The sequence below is a fragment of the Homo sapiens genome, chromosome 11 (genome assembly GCF_000001405.40).
Source record: "Homo sapiens chromosome 11, GRCh38.p14 Primary Assembly".
Classification (NCBI taxonomy): domain Eukaryota; kingdom Metazoa; phylum Chordata; class Mammalia; order Primates; family Hominidae; genus Homo; species Homo sapiens.
In genome coordinates, this window is record NC_000011.10 from 71,055,697 (window position 1) to 71,078,520 (window position 22,824).

The 22,824-nt window shown below is 50.6% G+C and overlaps 1 protein-coding gene across 19 annotated transcripts in view; it reads right to left on the minus strand.

Annotated features, from left to right (window-relative positions):
- SHANK2 (SH3 and multiple ankyrin repeat domains 2) overlaps positions 1-22,824 on the minus strand; it is a 785,381-nt gene that overhangs the window by 587,843 nt on the left and 174,714 nt on the right. For all 19 annotated transcript variants that reach the window (NM_001441030.1, NM_001441032.1, NM_001441037.1 and 16 more), the window contains 2 exons: positions 19,463-19,579; positions 785-862 (listed from right to left, as the gene is read on the minus strand). In NM_001441030.1, the coding sequence (NP_001427959.1) occupies positions 785-862; positions 19,463-19,579 (195 nt within the window). The remainder of the gene's footprint in view (positions 1-784; positions 863-19,462; positions 19,580-22,824) is intronic.

Sequence of the window (22,824 nt, forward strand, 5' to 3'; positions counted from 1 at the left end):
AATATGATCTCATTCATTTCACATGTTCAGAATAGGCAAATTCATGGAGATGCAAAGTCATGAGTGGTTTTCTAGGGGCTGGGGGAGGGGGAGGGGGAGTGGGGAGTGGCTGGTTAGTGGGTACAGGGTTTCCTTTTGGGAAAGGAAAGTTCCCAAAGCTAAGTTCTTAGCTAGACAATGGGGATGGTTTTGCACAGCATCATGAATATTCTTAATGCCACCAAAGTGTACACTTTAAAATGGTTCAAATGTTAAATGTGATGCTATATGTATTTTGCCACAATTTTTAAAAAAGTTTAGGACCTGGGCTTGTGCATTACACCACAGAACACCCTGGCCCATGATTGGCTGGGGTTGTTCTCCCTCCACTCTGGGACAGCGGACCCCATGGGGGTGCCAATGGAAGGCAAGCCCCCTCCTGTGTGATCCTCAGGAAGCTTGTCCCACTGGATGGAGGGGCGGCAGAGCCAGCATCTCCCAACAGCTGCACAGTTGGAAGCACTTACGTCTTTGCTGCCTTTCCGGCGCTGACTGCTGCATGCATTTCCACATTATTTGTGCCATTTGCTCTAATAGGAAGGAGCCAGTGTGAGCAAGCACACTGAGACGGGGCAGCAGCTTTGCACTAAGAGAGGGAGGCACCTAGAGCAGCCTCCGAATAAGAAAACATCCGCAACAAAACGAGCCGACCTCATGTCACACATACAAACACGACCGTGGAGACGCAGAGCCATCACCCACTGTGATCCACACACATCCTTCCTGATGCTGAGATCTCTTTTACCTGAAATGGAGTCTGGCTGTTGTAGTTTTTTAACTCCTTATTTCCGCCTCGAAACAGAAGCACTCTTGCACAGCTGTCCTGCAAATAGAAAAGGAGAAACCTGTTTGTAAAATGGTAGCACAGACATTCTCCAAAGAAATCTGTCCAGAGTCTCAAGCTCACGGGAAACCAGGGAAACAGAAGTGCACAGTTAAAAGGGAAAGCATGTTGCTTTCATCTGGCTCCTGTATGCTGTCAGGTGAGGCTCACCTGCTGCCAACTATGGCCAAACAATTTCACTTTTTAAGACTATATCCTATAGAAAGTCTTGCACATGTATATAAAATATACAATAAATGAAATATCTTCAGTAAAATACAGAAAGGAAGAAAGAAGAAAGAAAAGAAAAGAAGAAAAGAAAAGAAAATCTGGAGCTAGCATACATGTTCTAAAATAGGGGAGAGTGGGGATATATTCTAGAACATTCTTCACCTAGGCAGTCTCAGGACAAAACAAGGCAGATGACTATGAACTGAGAAAAACATATCCAGGAACTTCTAAATAAAAAAGGCAAGTCCCAAAACAATAATATTGGCCATGCGCAGTAGCTCACACCTGTAATCCCAACACTTTGGGAGGTCGAGGTGGGCCAATCACCTGAGGTCAGGAGCTTGAGACCAGCCTGACCAACATGGTGAAACCCCATCTCTACAAAAATACAAAAATTAGCCGGGCATGGAGGCATGCGCCTGTAATCCCAGCTACTCAGGAGGCTGAGGCAGGAGAATCACTTGAACCCAGGAGGCGGAGGTTGCAGTGAGCCGAGATCGCACCCACTGCCCTCCAGCCTGGGCAACAAGGGTAAGACTCCATCTCAAAACAAAAAACAAACAAACAAAAAAAACAAAACCCCCAATAATATTGTTTAAGTTCATTTACATTTTAAAGGCTTAAAGAGAAACTAATAAAGGCTTAAAGTCTATATTATAGAAAAGCAGGGACTATGTCTGGAAGGATATGCACCAGTTAACGGTATTTACTTTCATGGAAAGGAAAAGGATTAGGGAGAGAACAGAAGGAATCTTTTTACACTTTATTTTTATTTTTTGAGACACAGTCTTGCTCTGTTGCCGAGGCTAGAGTGCAGTGGTGCAATCTTGGCTCGCTGCAACCTTCATCTCTTGGGCTCAGGCAATTCTCCCCACCTCAGCCTCCTGAGTAGCTGGGACAACAAGCATGTGCCACCATGCCCAGCTAATTTTTTTTTTTTGGAGAGCCAGGGTCTCAATATATTGCCCAGGCTAGTCTCGAACTCCTGGGCTCAAGTGATCTGCAGGCCTCTACCTCCCAAAATGCTGGGATTATAGGCGTGAACCACCATGCCTGACCAGAGATTCTTTTTTTTTTAATATGTGGGCTTATATTATTTAATGTTGTTAAAAGCAAGCAAAACGGTTTTTTTTTTTTTTTTTGAGACAGGGTCTCAGTCTGTCACCCAGGCTAGAGTGCAGCGGTGCGATCACAGCTCACAGCAGCCTCGACCTCCCACCTCAACCTCCTGAGTACCTGGGACTATAGGGATGCGCCACCATGCCCAGCTAATTTTTGTATTTTTTTGTAGAGACGAGGTCCCCCGTGTTGTCTAGGCTGGTCTCAAACTCCTGGGCTCAAGTGATCTGCCTGCCTCAGCCTCCCGAAGTGCTGGGATTACAGGCGTGAGCCACTGCACCCAGCCTCTTATGCATTTTCATAACAAAAATGAATCTGCATCCATCCATTGATTGGGCAGCTACCATTTGCCCGTGAAGCTGATGGAGAACTTCTCGCCAACCCCTCTGAAGCTCCCAGTGAGGACTGCAGCAGCAAATAACTACTAATAAAAAGGCAGTGGTAGAATGTTGACGTAGCCAATAAAAGGCAGCAGCAGAATGTTGATGTAACCAGTGGGGACTGCAGCGGCAAATAACTACTAATAAAAAGGCAGCAGTAGAATACTGATGTAGCCGTACCGACTATTAGAATAATTTTGCCTAGCAAATGCAGTTGGCTGTTTAGAATAAGCAAACTCTGTTTTTGGAAGTGCATTTAAATGATCAGGGGCTGGGCTGGTGCTTGTGCCTCGGCAGCAGGGGCCTGACACCGGGCTGGGGGCACCTTCTCCTACAGGACTCAGGGCCTCAGCGCAGGTCACAGCCGAAGCCTGTACTGGGCAGATCCTGGGAATTCCATCCTTACCTACAGTCTAGTGTACAGACAACAGGTGTGACCACCTGGACTCAACACTGCACAAATATACACCGAATAAAGGGGTAAGTGGATTAAATGACCAGGGCTTCCCACCCACGACAGGTCAGAGACCCCAGCCCGGGCCCCGGGGGAACCCCATCCCTGGGAACAGCAAAATGCCAAGCTGAGTGGACACTGCACAGGCGGTGGGACCTGGCAGATCAGCAGATTTGAAAGAGAGCTGATTGGTTGGGCGCGGTGGCTCACGTCTGTAATCCCAGCACTTTGGGAGGCTGAGATGGGCGGATCACCTGAGGTCAGGAGTTCAAGACCAGCCTGGCAACAACATGGTGAAACCTTGTCTCTACCAAAAATACAAAACTTAGCTGGGTGCGGTGGCAGGTGCCTGTAATCCCAGCTACTCGGGAGGCTGAGGCAGGAGAATCACTTGAACCTGGGAGGTGGAGGTTGCAGAGAGCCAAGACTGTGCCATTGCACTCCAGCCTGGGCAACAAGAGCGAAACTCTGTCTCGAAAAAATAAATAAATAAAATAAAAATAAAAATAGAGAGCTGAAAATCTAGAAGGAAATAGGGAGCAGCTGCCAACAGGTCCTGGGTTTCAGTCTGGGTGAAAAAAAATGTTCTAAGGTTGACGGTTGTGATGGTTGTTGGTGGTGATGGTCGATGGTGGTGATGGTTGACGGTGGTGATGGTTGATGGTGGTGATGGCTGCACAACTCTGTGGACAGACCAGCGATCATGGAGCTGTACACTTTAGATGGGTGAACTGTATGGTGTGTGAATTGCATCTCAATAGAGGGTCACATACATATTTAAGAAGACAGACAGCAGGAAGGCAGGCCACCCTGGCAGAGAGTCTTCATCCCTGGCTGGGTGGGTCGGGCAGGCCAGGAGCACACTGAGCTCTCAGGATCCGGCTGATTTCAGGGTGGGGAGCCCACCAGGCCTCCACCCCATGATGGTGATTATTAATGAGGGAACCACACCCTCTCCGGCAGCTAAGAGTGTGGGCTGCGCTCACTTGGGAGACACAGGTGGGCGGATCTGAGTTGGGTAGTAAAGGCCGCCCCGTCTCTGCGTTCTCCAGCATCCTGGGGCCTCGGTGACTGTGGCCAGCTTTGTTCATCGACTGTGTAAAAAGCCACCTGCATGCTTGGGGGTGCACTCTGCCTCAAGCCCCACTGAGGCCGCCTCTGTACAGAGTGGGGGGCTCTGGCCACAGATGCCAATGAGTCAGGCATGTGGAAGTGAGTGTGGACCGCTCCACAGACCGTGCTGAGTGTTCTGTCCCACTGCCCTACAGGAAGGTCAGGTTGGTTAGAGGGGGATCCCCAGAGCCCCTGCACCCCGATTCCAATTAGAAGCAAAACCACCATGGTTTCCCCACCCTCTGACACAGTGGTTCTCAACCGGGGGTAATTTTGCCTTCACGGGAACATCCGGCAATGTCTGGAGACATTTTTGGCTGTCACAACTGTGAGTGCTACTGGCACTTACTGGGTTAAGGCCAGGGATGTTGTGAGGCATCCTGCAATTAATAGGACAGCCCCCCATGGCAAAAAACCATCCAGCCCCAAACCTCAATAAAGCTGAGGTCAACAACCCCTGTCTTCATGGCTCCAAATGTTACTGATGATGGATATGAGTCGTGAAGAGCTGCATCCCTAGAACGGTCTCAGAACAACACGGACTGTATGAATCACATGCCACTCCCCAAGCCCACTGGCCCCTGGCCCCAGCCGGTCAGGCCTCAAGGGGGGACGCCAAGCCCTATGCTATTCAGGGTCTCGTCCCTGGAACGTGTCCTCAGACTCAGGGACAGCCCAGCAGGTTTCACAGAAGATGTTCACCCACTCCTGGGGAGCAGGAAGGCAGAGGCGGCTTCTGTCACCTCTCACTATGAGGACCATGCATGTCAGCAGGGGAGGGACAGATGCCCATGGAGCTGTCAGCCTGAGGCCCACAGGGCAGTGGTGAAAGGAGAGCTGGCAAAGCCACGTGTGAGGCTCGAACAACACTGCAGATGGAGGCTGAGCTGAGAAAAAGCAAACACAAGGAAACGAGCTGCTAGAAGCCCATGGTGTTTCAAAACAACGTGTGAGTCTGCAAGAGCATGCAGCAGCCGATATAGGGTGACGCTCCGCACAGGGTTTCAGGGTGGGAAACCCCTGGAAAAAGCACAAATGTGGATTCCAGTTTTTACGCTGAGATTTCCATACTCTACTAATTATTGCCATAAATATATGTTGCTTTGAGTACAGGAAAAAATATGTAAGGGAATTTTCAGACATAACTATGTTCAGCAAACGAATCTTTCATTTCTGGGGTACAATTAAATCCAGAGTTTCAAAAACAGAAAGCCCTGGCGTCAGTTCTGCTGTGCCCAGGGTCCACACTGTGGGAGGTGCAGGTCAAGACTGCAGGCCTGCTTACTTCATTTTAGGGTTGCAAACTACGGCCCTTGGGCCTAATCCTGCACATCTAATTTTGTAAATAAAGTTTTACTGGGATGCGACCACATCTACTCACCTGCATATTTTCTGTGGCTGCAAAGCCTGAGGTATTTACTCTCTGGGTCTTTACAGAAAAAAGGGTACCCAGCCCAATTTTAATAAAGCAGTCCTGCACCTCCCTAACGTGGTCACACATTCACAGAAATGACCACGCTGGCAGGATGCCCTAACAGTGGACATATTAACAACGGTCTTCAGGCCCCACTTAGGCTGATGACAGGGAGTGCAGGGTGATAACCAGCTTCAGCACTGAGAGAGCGGTTCTGCCTCTTGTCTTCTGAGCCTCAGTTTCCTCCTTTTTAAAGTGGGGATACCGGGCTTAGTGGCAGCAGAATGAGCTTAGTGCACTGTCAATGACACAGGTGGGGGTCTCCTTCCACCCCCAGCAATGCCCTTTCCCTGGAAAGTAACCCCTGATCCCCAGGAGAGGGGCCCACTCATATTAGTACAGCCCCTCCAAGTCCCAGGCACATGGGCCCATCGGGGTGTCACCGGGAACCTGGGAATGGTGAGTTTCTGCAGGTGACCGGCATTTCAAGAGATGCACAGAATGCAGCCTTCTCCACCAGGATGAGACAGAGTGTGGAGAGCACTGGGCAGGTCCCTGGCTTTTCCAGTCCCGACCTAGCCCTTCCCCCGCTCTGCCCCAGCTGCAGGACTTGCCCTGTGTCCTGATCATGAGCCCAAAATTTCCCGTCAAATCACCCCCAGTGGGATCCTGTTATTTCCAACTCCAAAAAGTCTTTCTTTCTTTTTTTTTTTTTTTTTTTTTTCTTGAGACAGGGTCTTGCTCTGGTGCAATCTCGGCTCACTGCAACCTCTACCTCCCAGGCCCAAGCGATCCTCCACCGCAGCCTCTCAAGTAGCTAGGATTACAGGCGCACGCCACCATGCCGGGCTAATTTTTGTATTTTCTGTAGAGACAGGGTTTCACCATGTTGCCCAGGCTGGTCTCCATCTCCTGGGCTCAAGCAATCTGTCCACCGTGGCCTCTCAAAATACTGAGATGACAGGTGTGAGCCACTGCACCCAGCCCAAGGTCTTTATCAAAATCACAGTATTATCAGGTTATGGTGAGCAAAAAGTTTGTTTTTTGCTTTGGTAAGAGAGAAAACGAAGAGGAGGCGGAGAGACCACAGGGCCAGGAGAATGGGATGATGGCTCTCAGCCAGTTCCCATCTGGGGCCTGGTGGGGTCAGCAAAGGGAGAAGAGGGCAGCAAGAGAGGAGGGACCTCATGGGGGTAGGCATCAGTGGGGACATGAAAGCTGGCCCCTGGGGGTCTTGCTCACCCATTTGCTCTGGGCTGTAACTGCACCCTGGCCCAGTGGCCTAGAAGAATCACCCAGCACCAGCAAAACCCAGATGGCTGAGAGTGGCCTGGCGAATTGGAATACAGAATATGAGAGCCCTGCTCAGGGAGGAGCCTGGGACACTCTTCCCCATCTCCTCTTATTTCTCAGTAAGAACTTTTTCTGAAAATTCCCTATTATAGGCTGGGCATGGTGGCTCACACTTGTAATCTCAACACTTTGGGAGGCTGAGGTGGGAGGATTGCTTGAGTCTAGGAGTTTCAGACCAGCCTGGGCAATATAGCAAGATCCCGTCTCTACAAAAAATGAAAAAAATTAGCCAGGAGCGGTGGTGCGTGCCTGTAGTCCTAGCTACTTGGGAGGCTGAGGCAGGAGGATCTCTTGAGCCCAAGAGGTCGTGGCTGCAGTGAGCTGTGATCGTGCCACTGCATTCCAGCCTGGGTGACACAGCAAGACCCTGTCTCAAAAAAAAAAAAAAAAAAAAAGATAGAGAGTAAGAGAGAAAGAGAAAGAGAGAGAAAGAAAAGGAAGGAAGGGAGGGAGAAAGAGAAAGAGAAAGACAGGGAGGGAGGGAAAAGAAAGAAAAAGTAAAGAAAATAAAATTCCCTATTATAAAGGACATGTACTTCCTATAGAAAGTTAAGAATAAATCCTCAGCAGGCACTGCCATTCCAGGGCGATACAGTTAGGATCCAAGAAAAATCCTCCACTACCTCCAGTCACTCAATGACTTTGACGGAGTCAATATCATACCTCCGACCCATTACCACGTGTTTCCCAGACGTCAAAAAGAGCTCAGGTTCCAGTTAGTTATTTTGAAATTCAAGGGTACATGGTTCACTTGGCTTAATAACAATGATACCTCCATGTATGTATGCATATCACACATGTGTCTGTGTACACGTGTGTGAACATGTGTGTTTGCAGTTCAAAATGCCCATCTACCCGCTCCTTCTGGTTTAACTCTCAAGGTATGGGAGAACTCTCTGCCAGGGAGAACAGGAGGCCCATTTTACAGAGAAGGTTAATGTGAAAAACTGCAACAACTTGCGGCTTCAGAAAGGAGGAGAAAGGAAAAACTGTGATCCAGGAGGTGCTGGTGGGAGCTTTTGGCTCCCTTGCGAGGCTGCTGGCTGCCCTGGATTCCTTTCAGAGGTGTATCTTATCTGACAGGTCTTTATCCTTTTAAATAATTCAGTGAAGTATAAATATAGAAGCAATTGGAATGCTTTTTGAAGACCCGAGCATCAAGAAGAATATCATTTTCACTGCCACTTTTTCTCTTGGCATGAATTTTCCGAGACACTTCCCTTAATAAATGTACCTCCCCACGAAGGAGCGTTCCTGGGGCTCGCACTGTGCCCGCTGAGAACACAGTGTGCCTGCAGTTCCCATCAGCTGCTGGACCCCCAGACCCCATCATTTCCATTTACAGATGAAGACCTGCAGTTCCCACCAGCTGCTGGACCCCCAGACCCCATCATTTCCATTTACATATGAAGACCTGCAGTTCCCACTGGCTGCTGGATTCCCCAGACCCCATCATTTCCATTTACAGATGAAGAGACAGACAGAGAAAGCCACTCATCGATGCATGCAGTGAGTCCTCATGGAGCTGCCAGGTACTGTCCTAGTCCCTGGGGACACAGATGCAAACCAGAAAGTCAAGGTCTCTGCCAGGCTTGGGCTGGAGAGGGGGCACAGAAAACAACCACACAACGTCAGGACGGGTGGGTCTGATGCAGACAGTGGAGAGGATGCGGCTGGCTGGGCAAGCTGAGTCCTGGGATGGGAGGAGAGAGAGCCTGGGGACAGCTGGGCGGAGGCAGAGGCCACCCCAGCAGAGCACCAAGAACCGAAGTAGAAACCGGCAAGGGGCCGGGAGGCAGGAAGGCAGTGGTGGGGCCAGGCAGCAGCAAGCTGGGATGAGCTGGGCTGGATAGGAGAGAAGGGCACAGGACACAAGCCCTGGGTTATGCAAAGGGGGTTCTCAGCAGGGGAGGGATGAAGAACTTGGGTGACAGAAAGTGGATTTGAGGGAAGACAGACTGGAAGGAAAGAGGCTGGATGGTGAATACATAGTCCCAGGGAGAGACAGCAGGGCCCCAGGCAAGGGTGAGAAGGGTGGTGGGGACAAGAGGGGTGGAGGGGACAAGAGGGGTAGACGGGCCCAGAGAGGGTGGAGAGGGAATGGACAAGTCCCGGGATGAGAGGGACGGTGAGAAACAGGAGGTGGCCAGGTTTCGGGCCTGAGCTCCAGGGGAAGGGCGTTATTTACAGAGTGGGGAGCAGCTGCCACACTGGAGTCTCCTAAGAGGTCGGCACGTGGGGCCATTGGCAAGGAGCAGACATCACTGCCAGAGCTCAGGGCAGAAGTGAGCTGGGAGACTCCGACTGGGGACTCTTGGGGTTTTCTAGAAGGCGCACAAGGACACAGACAGGCCCGCCGGAGGTCACCTCGGGAGTCACTGCAGGAGGGAATCTGGGTAACAGGAGCGTGCAGTGCAGACGCCGAGAGATGCCACAGAAACGTTGAGCTGGATGGGGACAGAGACGGGACCTTGGAAGTGCCATGTGGGTGTGACTGGGTTTGAGCAAGCAGGGGTGAAAGTCTGACCACACTGTGTCAGTGAGACAACAGCCATGAGAAGGTGGAAGCCACGTGTGCAGAACTCTCCCGGGGAGATAAGCAGTGAGTGGGGAAGTTAGGGGTCTGTGTGCAGAACTCTTCCAGGGAGATAAACAGTGAGTGGGGAAGTTGGTGGGAGGTGTGTGCAGAACTCTCCCAGGGAGATGAGCAGTGAGTGGGGAAGTTGTGGGGGTGTGTGTGTGCAGAACTCTTCCAGGGAGATGAGCAGTGACTGGGGAAGTTGTGGGGGGGTGTGCAGAACTCTTCCAGGGAGATGAGCAGTGAGTGGGGAAGTTGGGGGGTGTGTGCAGAACTCTTCCAGGGAGATGAGCAGTGAGTGGGGAAGTTGGGGTGTATGTGCAGAACTCTCCCAGGGAGATGAGCAGTGAGTGGGGAAGTTGAGGGGTGTGTGCAGAACTCTTCCAGAGAGATGAGCAGTGAGTGGGGACGTTGCAGGGGGGTGTGTGCAGAACTCTCCCAGGGAGATGAGCAGTGACTGGGGAAGTTTGTGGGGGGTGTGCGGAACTCTTCCAGGGAGATGAACAGTGAGTGGGGAAGTTGGGGGTGGTACAGAACTCTCCCAGGGAGATGAGCAGTGAGTGGCGAAGTTGGGGAGGAGGGGTACAGAACTCTCCCAGGGAGATGAGTGGTGAGTGGGGAAGTTGGGGGCGGGGCATACAGAACTCTCCCAGGGAGATGAGCGGTGAGTGGGGAAGTTGGGGGGGATACAGAACTCTCCCAGGGAGATGAGCGGTGAGTGGGGAAGTTGGTGGGGGCGGGGTACAGAAGTCTCCCAGGGAGATGAGCAGTGAGTGGGGAAGTTGGGAGGGGAGTACAGAACTCTCCCAGGGAGATGAGTGGTGAGTGGGGAAGTTGGGGGAGGGTACAGAACTCTCCCAGGGAGATGAGCAGTGAGTGGGGAAGTTGGTGGGGGGGGTGTGTGCAGAACTCTCCCAGGGAGATGAGCAGTGAGTGGGGAAGTTGGGTGGGGGGGGTGCAGAACTCTCCTGGGGAGATGAGCAGTGAGTGGGGAAGTTGGGGGGGGTATAGAACTCTCCCCCGGAGATGAGCAGTGAGTGGGGAAGTTGGCGGGGGAGGGTACAGAACTCTCCCACGAAGATGAGCAGAGAGTGGGGAAGTTGTGGGGGGTGCAGAAGTCTCCCAGGGAGATGAGCAGTGAGTGGGGAAGTTGGGGGGGTGCAGAAGTCTCCCAGGGAGATGAGCAGTGAGCAGGGAAGGTGGGCAGGGGGTCCGTGAAGCCAAGGAACTTCTGGAGACAGAAGTGGGTGGAGTGTCTTCATAAGCAAATGGGCATGACGTAAGAGAAGGCAGAGGTCAAAAGTAGAAACACTGGTGGCAGACATGCCCACAGGCACAGACAACGTTGCAACCAGGATGTTAACTCGGAAGCTCCAGGCCCCGTCAAGCCATTTCCTTTCAACGGCACTGAGGCTGTCTTCACTTAAATGTCACAGATACAAATTACTGCACACTCCAAAGTGTAAATCAGGAGTTTGTTTTCAGGTTAAGCTATCTTTTGAAATAAGGCCTTTTGGGCAGCCATAAATGTAAAAACAACTAAGATGTCTGCATAAGTAAAACGGGGAAGTGGCTGGGACGCTTGTGTCATTGGGACAGGGCTGGAACCTGGTCCCTCAGACCAGCCCACCCCTTGAAGAGCTGTGCCTGTAAGTAAGGGCCAGGGTAAGTACGAACACACCCCTCACTGCCGTGGACATAGGTGCTTCTGCCTGACCTGTGCCCAGTAGAGGCCCCTTCCCCAGTCAGTGGGTTACAGGAATGCATCCACAAGGCATGGGTTGGAAACCTGGCTTCCTCATTTACTAACGGAGCGGCCTTTGACCACTCCTGCATCTTCTGGCCTGTATAAAGGGAAAGCCAACCAAGCCAGCCACCCACCAGAGCTGGGGGAGGTGAAGGAAAGGGCGTGTGGACACCGTCGCCATTCAGCGAGACCCACACCCACAACGCCCAATGCTCAGGGGGCCATCACCCCATGATGGCCCCATGGGAGCTGCCACAGCTCGGACAGGTTCCCCGTGGGACACCAGCAAGGGCACAGATGCAAACAGGAAACACCACGTCTTCCTACCCTGGCTCGTGCTGGTATCAAAGACAGGCAGACTGTTTTTTATTATTTTTACCTTCCAGACAAATTGGCCTAGCCTAGTAACCTTTGATATTTAAAACTTGCTTCGCTCCTTCATCATCCAGGGCAGAAAAATGAACCCCAGGCTGCTCCCCTCCCTCTGGAGCTCTTGGAGAGCCAGGATGAGGTGAGGGGTTGACAGATTAGACACAATTTGATACTTACAATCAAAGCCCTAATTAGGTGATTTCATAAAAGAAGAGAGAACATTCTAATCATAGTGTATTTTATTACAAGTGTGGAGGTGGTAAGGCCTGCCTAAAACTGATAAAGCACATGTAACAATCCATACACCTGGGTGCTTTTAGATCTAACAAGGAGAGGCTTGTTACAGGAATATCGTCAATAGCAGCATCACCATCATCATCATCATCACCAGCCTGCATCAGTCACCATCAATGAGACCATCGTCACTATCACCGTCGCCACCATCACCATCACTGCCATCATCACCACCACCACCACTACCACTATGACCATGAACATCACCACTACCACCACCATCGCTCACCAACAATATGACCACTGTCACCATCACCATCACCACCATCATCACCACCACCACTACCACTATCATCATCAATATCACCAGCATCACCACCATCACCATCATCATTATCACTGTCACCACCATCCTCACCACCATCATCACCACCACCATCACCATCATCACCATCCATATCATCACTAGCATCATCGCCACCATCGCCATCACAACCATCATCACCATCACAACCATCACCATCACCACCATCATCACAATCATCATCACCATCACCTGCCGTCACTCACCATGAACATGATCACCGTCACTATCATTACCATCAGCACTGCCATCATCATTAGTACCATGACTTAATCTACAAGTAGAAAGAGGAAGGGGGTGATGTACACAAGTAGTCTCAATGGCTCACTGAGTGACAGACACTCCTGCTGTTTAGAGCCCAGAAACTGTGAATCCTAAATGCCCAGCAATGCTTGGCACAGTCCTAGACAACAGAAGACTGCATCCTGACCCCCAGTGTCTGTAGCAGAAAAGCTCAAGGGCTGTAAGACTCATCCAAAGAGACTGGAAGAATCTGAATATCTAGGGAAGGCAAATAAAGTGCCTTTGCTTGACAAGTTCCCCAGCAGCACAATGCAACACCGCAACCATGACTGTGTATTTGGCGACCACAGGCCATGTTCAGGGAGAAGGGCTGTCAAGCCACCATTAGATGCCATAGTGACTTTGGTCATGCTCTGTGAGGGCAGAATGGAAAGAGACCTTAATGGGCATGGAGTCTGGTATGCTGGTCCTGTCTCACAGTGGAGCCAGCTGCTGCTCTGAAGATTCTTCAGCATCACTGGGATTCTGGGTTATGGGCTGGAAGCCTGGCAGCTGTACTATTCACAGGTTCTTTGGGTAATTCCAATGTGGAGGTTACAGCTCAGCTAGAAACCTCATTTGTTCTGCTGCACTGCCATCACCATCACCATGACCATGCTCACCACCATCATCAGCACCATCGCTGTCACCATGACCACTGTCATCACCATCATCATGATTACCATCACCATCACCACCACCATCATCACCATCAACCACCACCATCATCACCATCACCATGGCCACCATCACTATCACCATGACCACCCTCACCACCATCATCAGCACCATCACTATCAACCACTACCATCATCACCATCACTGTCGCCATGACCACCATCATCACCATCACCATGATTACCATCACCATCACCACCACCACCACCATCATCACCATCATCATTATCAACCACCACCATCATCACCATCACCATGGCCACCATCACTATCACCATGACCACCCTCACCACCATCATCAGCACCATCACTATCAACCACCATCATCACCATCACTGTCACCATGACCACCACCATCACCATTACCATGGTTACTGTCACCATCACCACCACCACCATCAGCACCATCATCATCTTCACCTTCACCATCATCACTATCAACCACCACTATCATCATCACCACCTTCATCATTGCCACCACCACCATCACTGCCTTCATCATCAACACCTTCATCATTATCACCATCAGCCTCACCATCACCACCTTCATCATCACCACCATCATCAGCACCACCACCATCGCCAGCCTCATGACGACCATCAGCAACAGTATCATCACCACCTTCACCATCACCACTAACACCACTGCTATCATTACAGCCACTATTTACTGAGCATCTACTATGTTCCAGGAATACCATATTACCATATATTTGTTTTCTATTTTTAGCCTCTTAGCAACCCTGTGAATTCGGTTTAATTATCCCCACATTACAGATAAGGAAATTCAGGGCCCTAGAGAGACAATAGGTTGTCCAGGACAGCATAGCAAGGCAAGGCAATGGGCTAGTCCAGATGAAACCCAGACCACCATGCCTCTTTGAATTACTGTTCCACTTCCTCAGGGCTGCCTCCTGACTCCTTTCCTTGAATCCTGTCTTGATTCAAAGGCACCTCTGTCCCATCCCTGAACAGTCTGTTGTTCAACACTACTCCCTGCATGCCCTGTGTGTGTGTGCCCTGTATGGCACCCTTTCTGCTTAAAGTTGCTAGAGTGGTTTCTGCCCCCTGCATGAGTGCCTGCTCTAATGAACCACATGCCTCATACATGTGTAGACAAGGGGGAGTGAGTATAGCAAGGTGTTCAAATGGTGACTCAGGAAGGAAAGAAGCTTTGGGTCAAGTACAACACGCAGTGCCTGCAGGACAAAGGTAGGGGTTCTGCATTCCTCCTGGTCACTTACTGGCACCTGGAAGATGCAGACATGAAGCTGTGCCTCTCTTGGCATCACACGAGATGTGGTTTGGACCAGCTTCTTTAACTACATCAGTGAGACACTCCAAAGAGTTTGGGGAGGGCATGAGGGAGGAGATTAAAGACACCCTAGAACCCTAAGGAGGAGTATGAGGGATACACGAAGCTGGATCCTAGACCACTCGCAGACATTCCGACTGACACTGTAGCCAGAGGTCAAGGGGCCAACCAGTCCAGAGCCTATGACCCTGCCCACTGGTTCTTGGAGGCTAGGCAAGGCTGGAAATCAAAACCAGGGGAGCCAGCTAATGCATTTCTACCCAGACAGAAGAGGGGGCACACAGGCAGGAGTTGGAACAGCTGTCCGCCCTGGAATGGGAGAGCTCTCCATACTACCTCCAGAGGCTTCCTGGCTGCAGGAGAAGCCACTCAATCCTGGGGAGGGGGATCCATCAATAAGACAAATGGGGGAGAGGAGGAGATGCAGCCTTCCATTCCAAGGCTTAGAGAAGAATGGCCTGCAGGCCAAATCAGCCCACTCCCTGTTTTGTAAATAAAGTTTTATTGGAACACGGCTACACTCTGACTTACATACTGTCTATGGCTGCTTTTGCACTACAGTGGCAGTTGAATCGTTATGACGGAGTCCATGCGACACGCAAAGCCTAAAATGTTACCCAACTGGCTCTTTATAGCAAAAGCAGATGGCTCATGTGCTAACCTGAGGCCCGAGGTGGGGAGAGGATGTCCTGAGAGCCCCAGCCAGCTTGGGACCCTCCTGGAGCCGGCAGCTGAGGCATAGGACAGATATGGGGCATGTGGAGTGTGGAGTGATACCAAGTCAAGCTCAATACAGATCATCAAAATGTGTTAACCTTTTCTAATCAGAAAGAAACATCAACACTTTCAAATACCATCTTGTCCACAATTATTTCAAGTGACAAAAAACAGACTTTTCTTGAGTTTTCAAGATAAAATGTGCTTGCAATCTACTGGGGAAAATTAAGGAATGTTTTTTCCATCCAAAGCAGTAATTAGGAAGCAGATGTTGGTGCAGATGTGTTTACCAGCCACAGCCAAGCCTCATGATGTGTTTTTCTAATGCAGCTGAGTAATGTATCTCCACACTCACACAGACATTTCAGCATTCACACCCCGTGGCATACCTAGGGACACAGCTGCATACAAACTACATCAATGTGCTTTCTTTGAGTGGGGGAAGTCTGCAGCTCTGCAAAATGCTGCTCACAGCTCAGCTGAAATGCCACCCAACCGCAGCTATGAAAGATGGCGGCTTATGCCTCTGATGATATCCACACGTGCTTCCTCTCAGGTGGACCCAAGGGGAAGGGAGCATCAGCAGAGAAAACAGGGAAGGCATAATAACTGCCTGGTCCTGGACATTTTGCCCTGGCTATGTCTCACAAAGGGCTGCAGAGAAAAATGTACAACTATGTGAGGGAGTCATCAGCAGAAGGCTTGACTGAGGGTCAGGAAGTCTGAATTGGATCTTGAAGGATGCATAGGAGTTTTCCAGGGCAAAGAATCCAGGAAGATTGAACAGCTAGAAGCAAAGTGGGACTCCAGCAGAGTGGCTGGAGGGGCCTGGGCTGGTGAGGAGCCATGGAAGGGCTGGGGAATGGCTTGGGTAAAGGATGAGGCTTGAGATTCCACCCCGGAGGCCACCATGAGCCAACAGGATGGGAGCACTGCTTTGGGATGGGAAGAGAATGCTGACAGCCTGCAGAGGATGGACCCTGGCACAAAGAGCCCTGGGCATCCAGCAGAGTTCCTCCTCTGAGATCTCCCTCTGTTCCTCCAGGATAAAGAGCCACATCCCCTCCCAGCCCACGCTGCTCTGCCGCTTAGTGTAGCATCCACATCTCGACACCCTCCAGATTTGAAGTTCCTTGAGATCAGAGAAAGAGAAAAAAGAAGGCACGGACAGAGAAGTCCTTCAATAGTGATGTCCAGGAATTCACCTGACTTTGAGCACCAAGGAAACAGAGAAACAGCCCCCTGTCCTCCTAAAGCAGTGCCTGCACCCCACCTATGCCCCCGTGAGCCCAGGGCCCCTTCTCACCAGCTCCACTCCACAGGCCGCCCCCACCACTTAACCCCCCATGGCTTCCCCGCTCCTACAGGACCAGCAGCCTCCTGCGGGACCAACAGCCCCCCACGCCCCTGCTTCACCTCCCCGTGAGGCCACGGTGCACACACTGGGCGGGGTGTCACTTGGCCTTGTCATTTAGGATGCAGCCTCCCAGAGGGCAGGGCTCACATCCCAGAAGCCTTCAGTGTTTCCTAGATACATTCACGTCCTGCTCTCCTCGGCTCTCACACTTGGTCTTACAGGGAAGTGTGAAGATGATTTGCTTTTTCACATCAAGGTTCCACTTGTGGGCATTTTTCCCCGAAAGAAATGAAAACAGGGTCTTGAACACATGGTTGCATCTATGCTCATAGCTGCATTATCCACGACACTCAAAAGGTGGAAGCCACCGAGGGTCCCCTGACAGATGTCCACGCACATGATCCACACAAGGGAGTATTATTTACCTTAAAACTATTATTCAGCTTAAAAAGGAAGGATAAAAAATTCCGACACAGCCTACAGCGTGGACAAACCTCGAAAACATTGCACTCAGTGAAATCAGCCAGACACCAAAGGACAAACACTTTATGTTTCTACTCATATCAAGTCCCTACAGCAGGAAAATCTACAGACACAGAAAGTGAACAGGGGTTGCCAGGGGCTGAGGAGAGGGGAGAGTTACATTTGATGGGGACAGAGTTTCAATTTTGCAAGATTAAGAGAGTTCTGGAGATGAATGGCAGGCAATTGCATAGCCATGTAAATGTACTTAATGCCACCGAACTGCATACTTAAAAGTGGTTAAAATGGCCTAAATTTTGTTATGTGTATTTTACCACTTAATGAAAAAGCACATTGGGGCGTATCTGTCCCATGCAGTGGTGGAAGGCTTGCTTTTTGTTTTTTTTCTTTTTCTTTTCTTTTTTTTCTTTTTTTTCTTTTTTTTTTTGAGATAGAGTCTTGCTCTGTCACCCAGGCTGGAGTGCAGTGGCACTATCTCAGCTCACTGCAACCTCCGCCTCCCGGGTTCAAGCAATTCTCTTGCCTCAGCCTCCCGAGTCGCTGGGATTACAGGCACATGCCATCACACCCGGCTAATTTTTGTATTTTCAGTAGAGATGGTGTTTCACCACATTGGCCAGGCTGGTCTTGAACTCTGACCTCAAGCAATCCGCCTGCCTTGGCCTCCCAAAGTGCTGGGCTTACAGGAGTGAGCCACCGCGCCTGGCCAGGCTTGCTTTTTTAATTTTTATTTTGGAGACAGGGTTTTGCTCTGTTACCTAGGCTGCAGTGCAGTGGCATGATCTTGGCTTGTTGTAGCCTTAAACCCCCAGGGCTCAAGTGATCCTCCCACCTCAGCCTCCTGAGTAGCTGGGACCACAGGCACATGCCACCATACCCGGCTGATTTTTAAAATTTTGTAGAGATGGGGTCTCACCATGTTGCCCAGGCTAGTCTCAAACTAGATCAAGTAATCCACTCCTCCCTCGGCCTCCCAAAGCACTGGGATTACAGGTATGAGCTGCTGCACCTGGCTGGAAGGCCTGCTTTTTTCATGTGATGGTGCCACGCATGCCTGGTGGGGGTACCAGAACTATCCTGGGGCTTTGTCCGCCACGTCCTTCCCCATCTCATGACTCTGATCTGCCCCTCTCCATGTTCCATATAGAGACCTGCTGACGGGGTAGATGGCTGACTCCAGAACTGAACAGAGTTTGCATCCCAGCTACAGAGGGTGGACAAGAGAGCCCGGCTCCTCACGCATCTTATGGAGCATGGACAGCATGGAGGCGTGGCACTGACCAGACCTGAGTCTTGAGCCCAGTTCTGGCACCAGCTGTGGGAGTGGGATGCTCGCCTTGCTTTCCTGGGGCTCTGTTTCCTCCCTTCTACAACAGGGTAACAGTTCCCACTGAGGCAGCAGGTGAGGATGACCTGAGATGCCCCCTGCAAGGCCTTCCCGGTGCCCCCCAGGGTCAGGGCTGGCTGGGGTGCGTGCCACTGCAGCGTGTGAGAAACAAACTTACCCGTTTAAACCCAAAGAATGGACTTAGAGACCCGGAGAACAGCGAAAGTGAGACTCTTAATGATGGTTTTGCAAATCAGGTGTCTGATGGGCAGGCACACCCAGCATGGTTTCAACAAGCAATTTATCCCCCAGTACACAGGTCCCTCCCCCAGCTCCTCAAAGGCTGAGTACTGTGGGTTACAATTTTTCTGGACGTTGCCTATTGGTTGTTGGGTTGGGGCTTTACGTGTTTTTTTAAGGATTGTTTTGCTGTGTTTTGCTGCAGTCCACAATGTGTTGCAATTTTAATTAACTTAGGGGCTTTTTAAGTATTTGACTTATGACCCAAGTAGCTGGGCAGGCTGATAAGAACAGACAATGCGAGCTATTTTGCAAGCTAGCAAAGTTTCATCTTAGACTAAACTTTTTTGGTTTGGGTGAGGGCCACTAAGGGGCAGGGGCTGACAAGCAGGCATTGGCTAATTAAGCAGGGGCTTAGTATATTTTGTTTCTTTTGTAGTTTGCTGACCTAAGCCAATTTTTTTTTTTTTTTTTTTTTTTTGAGACGGAGTCTCGCTCTGTAGCCCAGGCTGGAGTGCAGTGGCACGGTCTCGGCTCACTGCAAGCTCCGCCTCCTGGGTTCACGCCATTCTCCTGCCTCAGCTTCCCGAGTAGCTGGGACTACAGGTGCCTGCCACCATGCCCGGCTAATTTTTTGTATTTTTAGTAGAGACAGGGTTTCACCATGTTAGCAGGATGGTCTCGATCTCCTGACCTCGTGATCCGCCCGCCTCAGCCTCCCAAAGTGCTGGGATTACAGGCATGAGCCACCGCGCCCGGCTGACGTAAGCCAATTTAAGGCACTTTGTTTTGGAAATGGACCACTGTATACATTATTTCCTTTAAATGCGCTCAGCACTCACCTGGTTGTAGAGGGCGCAGATGTGCAAGGCCGTGTTCCCCGAGGCATTCTGGGCACTCATGTCTGCCCCGTAGAACAGCAGGTGCTCCAGGTGCTGCACGTGCCCGTACCTGCAGGCCTGAAACACAGAACCCAGGCTGTGAATCAGGAACCCTCCGCCACGACAGCCGCATGCACACACAAAGTACACCAGCCACTCGGCTGCTCCACCAGAACCCCAAGGCAGGGCAGGGCCTGTGCAGACCCCAACCACCCACCCACCATCTGGGCAAGCGCTCTAAAGACATCAGCATGCACCACCAGACCCCTGGCTGTGGATCAGGGAGAAAGACCTTCATGGTGGGATTGGGGACTGGTGCTCAGTTGTGAGACAGAGGGTCTGGGAAGGGGCCCCAAAGTCCCTTCCATCCTGATCCCGGGGCCTAGAGCCCAGAGGTGCAGGATGTCTTTCTCCCATCCTCAGTGCCCAGCTCCACAAGATGCAAACCAGAAGGCTCAGACCCGGCTTCAGTTACCCAAGCTCCCCCTTCCAAGGGGGCAGCACAAAATGGCCAGGAGAGGCCTTCACAGCCCTGCACTGCATCCACAGGAGTGAGCCCTGTCCTTCGACGTGCGACGGACGGCCCCACGACTGCTTTAATGCAGTCCAGCTCCTAAGTAAGTTGCAGGACGCAGGGGTAGGGCAGACCCATACTATGATAACTCCTCTCTGAGAACTGCAACATGTGTGACTTGTGAACCGTCAGGGCCCAGGGGTCAAACAGACCCAGTCCTGAACCATTTATCAGAACTTTCGCCTGAGTACCTATGTGCACCCTCATCTGTAGGCAGAAACAACCCTTAACCCTCACAGGGTTCAGATGAGAATCACGTGGGACAAAGAACACCACAGGGCCTCACACGAGGCTGGGCACTGAGTCAGCACTTGGTGAGTCAGTGATGCCCCTCCCCACCCAAGCTCACAGGGGCCAGGGAGGTCCCCGCACAGGTGATGAGGGCCCCTCTGTCCAGCCACACACTGCTCGACATGGTGGCCACAACCTTGGACCTGGAGAAAAGTCGGTCCTGACCTAACACATCTCAATCCCAGGGTCGGGAGGGAAAGAGGTGAGCCCCACCAAGGGCAGGCAGCCTAGGGGTGTTGAGAGCAGTAGGCGCCATGGTAGCCCAGGAAGGGGTTCTCATGAATCCTGCTCTACTGCTAATTGAGACAGATAGAGGTGAATTTCACCTTCTCAGGGTCCACGAGAAAGAGCTACACCTCAGCAATTAACAGTGAGGAAAGATGACAGGGAAGATATTGAAACTATTAATTGGATGAGCTATAAAAACAAAACAAAACAAAAAAAAAACAAACAAAAACAAAAAACGAAAAACAAAAAAAAAAACCACACACACACACGAGAAATTTCCATTTACCATTGCTGTGTCTCCCACAAATCTCATTAATTTATAAAGTAGATCCCTGTTGCAGGTTTCCTTGCTGTCACCTGCCCGGCCCCCATGGCCCCTTCTTCTGGGAACTCCACCTGCGTTTGCCTTTGGGGGCTACCCCAGCTCCACTCTCAGAGGTCCAGGGAAGGCCTCCCCACCCTGCTCCTGCAGAGGCACAGGACATAGGCAGGAGCCATCAGGTTCCAACTCCCCAGGCACAGTAAGGGACGCCCAGCTGACCTTAGAGAAGCTACCAAGTCCCAAGCTAGAACATTCATCACAACTACTGGGGAAAAAGTTCTTTCCTTCTTCCAGAGTGGGGAGCAGAAAAGTGACAGAGCCTGGGAGCTGCTGGGACCCTCAACACAGAAGGGATGTGTGACAGGGGCAGGGAGAGGAAGAAAGGAAAGGAAAGAAAGAGAGAAAGAGAGGAGACAGGAAGAGACATGCACAAAGCCAAGATGACACTGTCTGAGCCCCTCTAAGCTGCAACTGACCCTGGAATTTCCGGGACATAACAATGAGGCATAACTCCCTCCCCTCACCCAGTCGTTTGCATTGGGATTTGTGTTCCTTGAACTGAAGGATCCCTGGCTATTTGGCACTCCCCAAAGGACTTCTGGGAGGCAACACTTTGTTAAAGCTTAATTTAATTGCTCTGTGGTCAATAAAGACAACTAATGTTAGCATAAAAACACTGAACAATTAATCCACACTCATTATTCCCCTTCCCCCGGTTAATCTGAATTTATGAGCTTGTAAGTTCCATCAGTCAGATGGCACCAGAGCACTCTTCCCTTGCAAGGGCAAAATAGGCTCAATGGGAAGAGATGAAACGGAACCGCTGACTCCGGGTGGATGTCTCGTAGGCGTGTTCCCAAGAGCATGCTTCCATTTTCCACTTTTCCCACATCCATTGTTTTATAACACACAAACCCGGGAAATACAGAAAAGGGCTGAACAAAAACCAAAAGTCACCCAGAATCCCACAGTCTTAGCACTAGCAGTAATTTTTTTTTTTTAAGTGTCATTTCGGCTAGTCTCTTCTTTCTGTTTTAACCCCTGGTGGTTGAGGCACGGAGCTCACACCTGCTGAGGAAGATGCAGCTGCCATGCAGGGGGGTGAGGGGGATCCAAGCCAGGTGGTGGGCAGAAGGGTCCACAGACGGCTGCACGCAGGGCTCTGCACACACAAGGACACTCAGGAAAGGGAATGGGAGCTGGGCTCTCACTGTCAAGGAAGTTACAAATACAGTACAGGAGAAAACTAGAATATGCCTTGTGGTGTTGGCTTGGAATGGGAGTATCAGTAGAAACTCACGGTTCCTAATATAGAGACTAATAAAAATGAAAATGTGGATGCCTGTGTGTCTACCCATCCCTAACTCTGCCTACTGAGAGGGTGCAGGACCAGCAACAGCCCAGCAGCCATCAGCACCCCAAGCACCTGCACCTTGGCTTCTAAATACCACTCCACACTAAAAAGAATCAGGCTCCTTGGAGAAGCAGCTGATTCCTGAGGCAAGGAAAGAGCAAGGTGAGCTTGAAATATCTTGTTGTGCCAGAAATAAAGGAAATGGTAAAAAAAAAAAAAAAATCAATGGGGCTGTGTCCCAAGGACACAGGAGCCATCCTGAAGGGACACCCACTGGCTAAAACTGGGATAATAATAACAGATTATTACCTCCTGAATAAAGAGAACTCTGCAAGTCTGCCTTGTTGTAAATATATGAATAAATAAACAAGAAGAGAAAGCTTTTCTTTACAACAGCAAGCCAACTAATAATGTAGAAGCAATGGTAGGATTAAAAAAAAATCTCCATTTAGCAACCATAATAGCATTAATTCTGGCAAGAAAGGCCAATGGATGCCAAAACTGTCAGGTGAAAGGGGTATGAGAAAACAGATTTTTGCATAGCCTCAAAGATC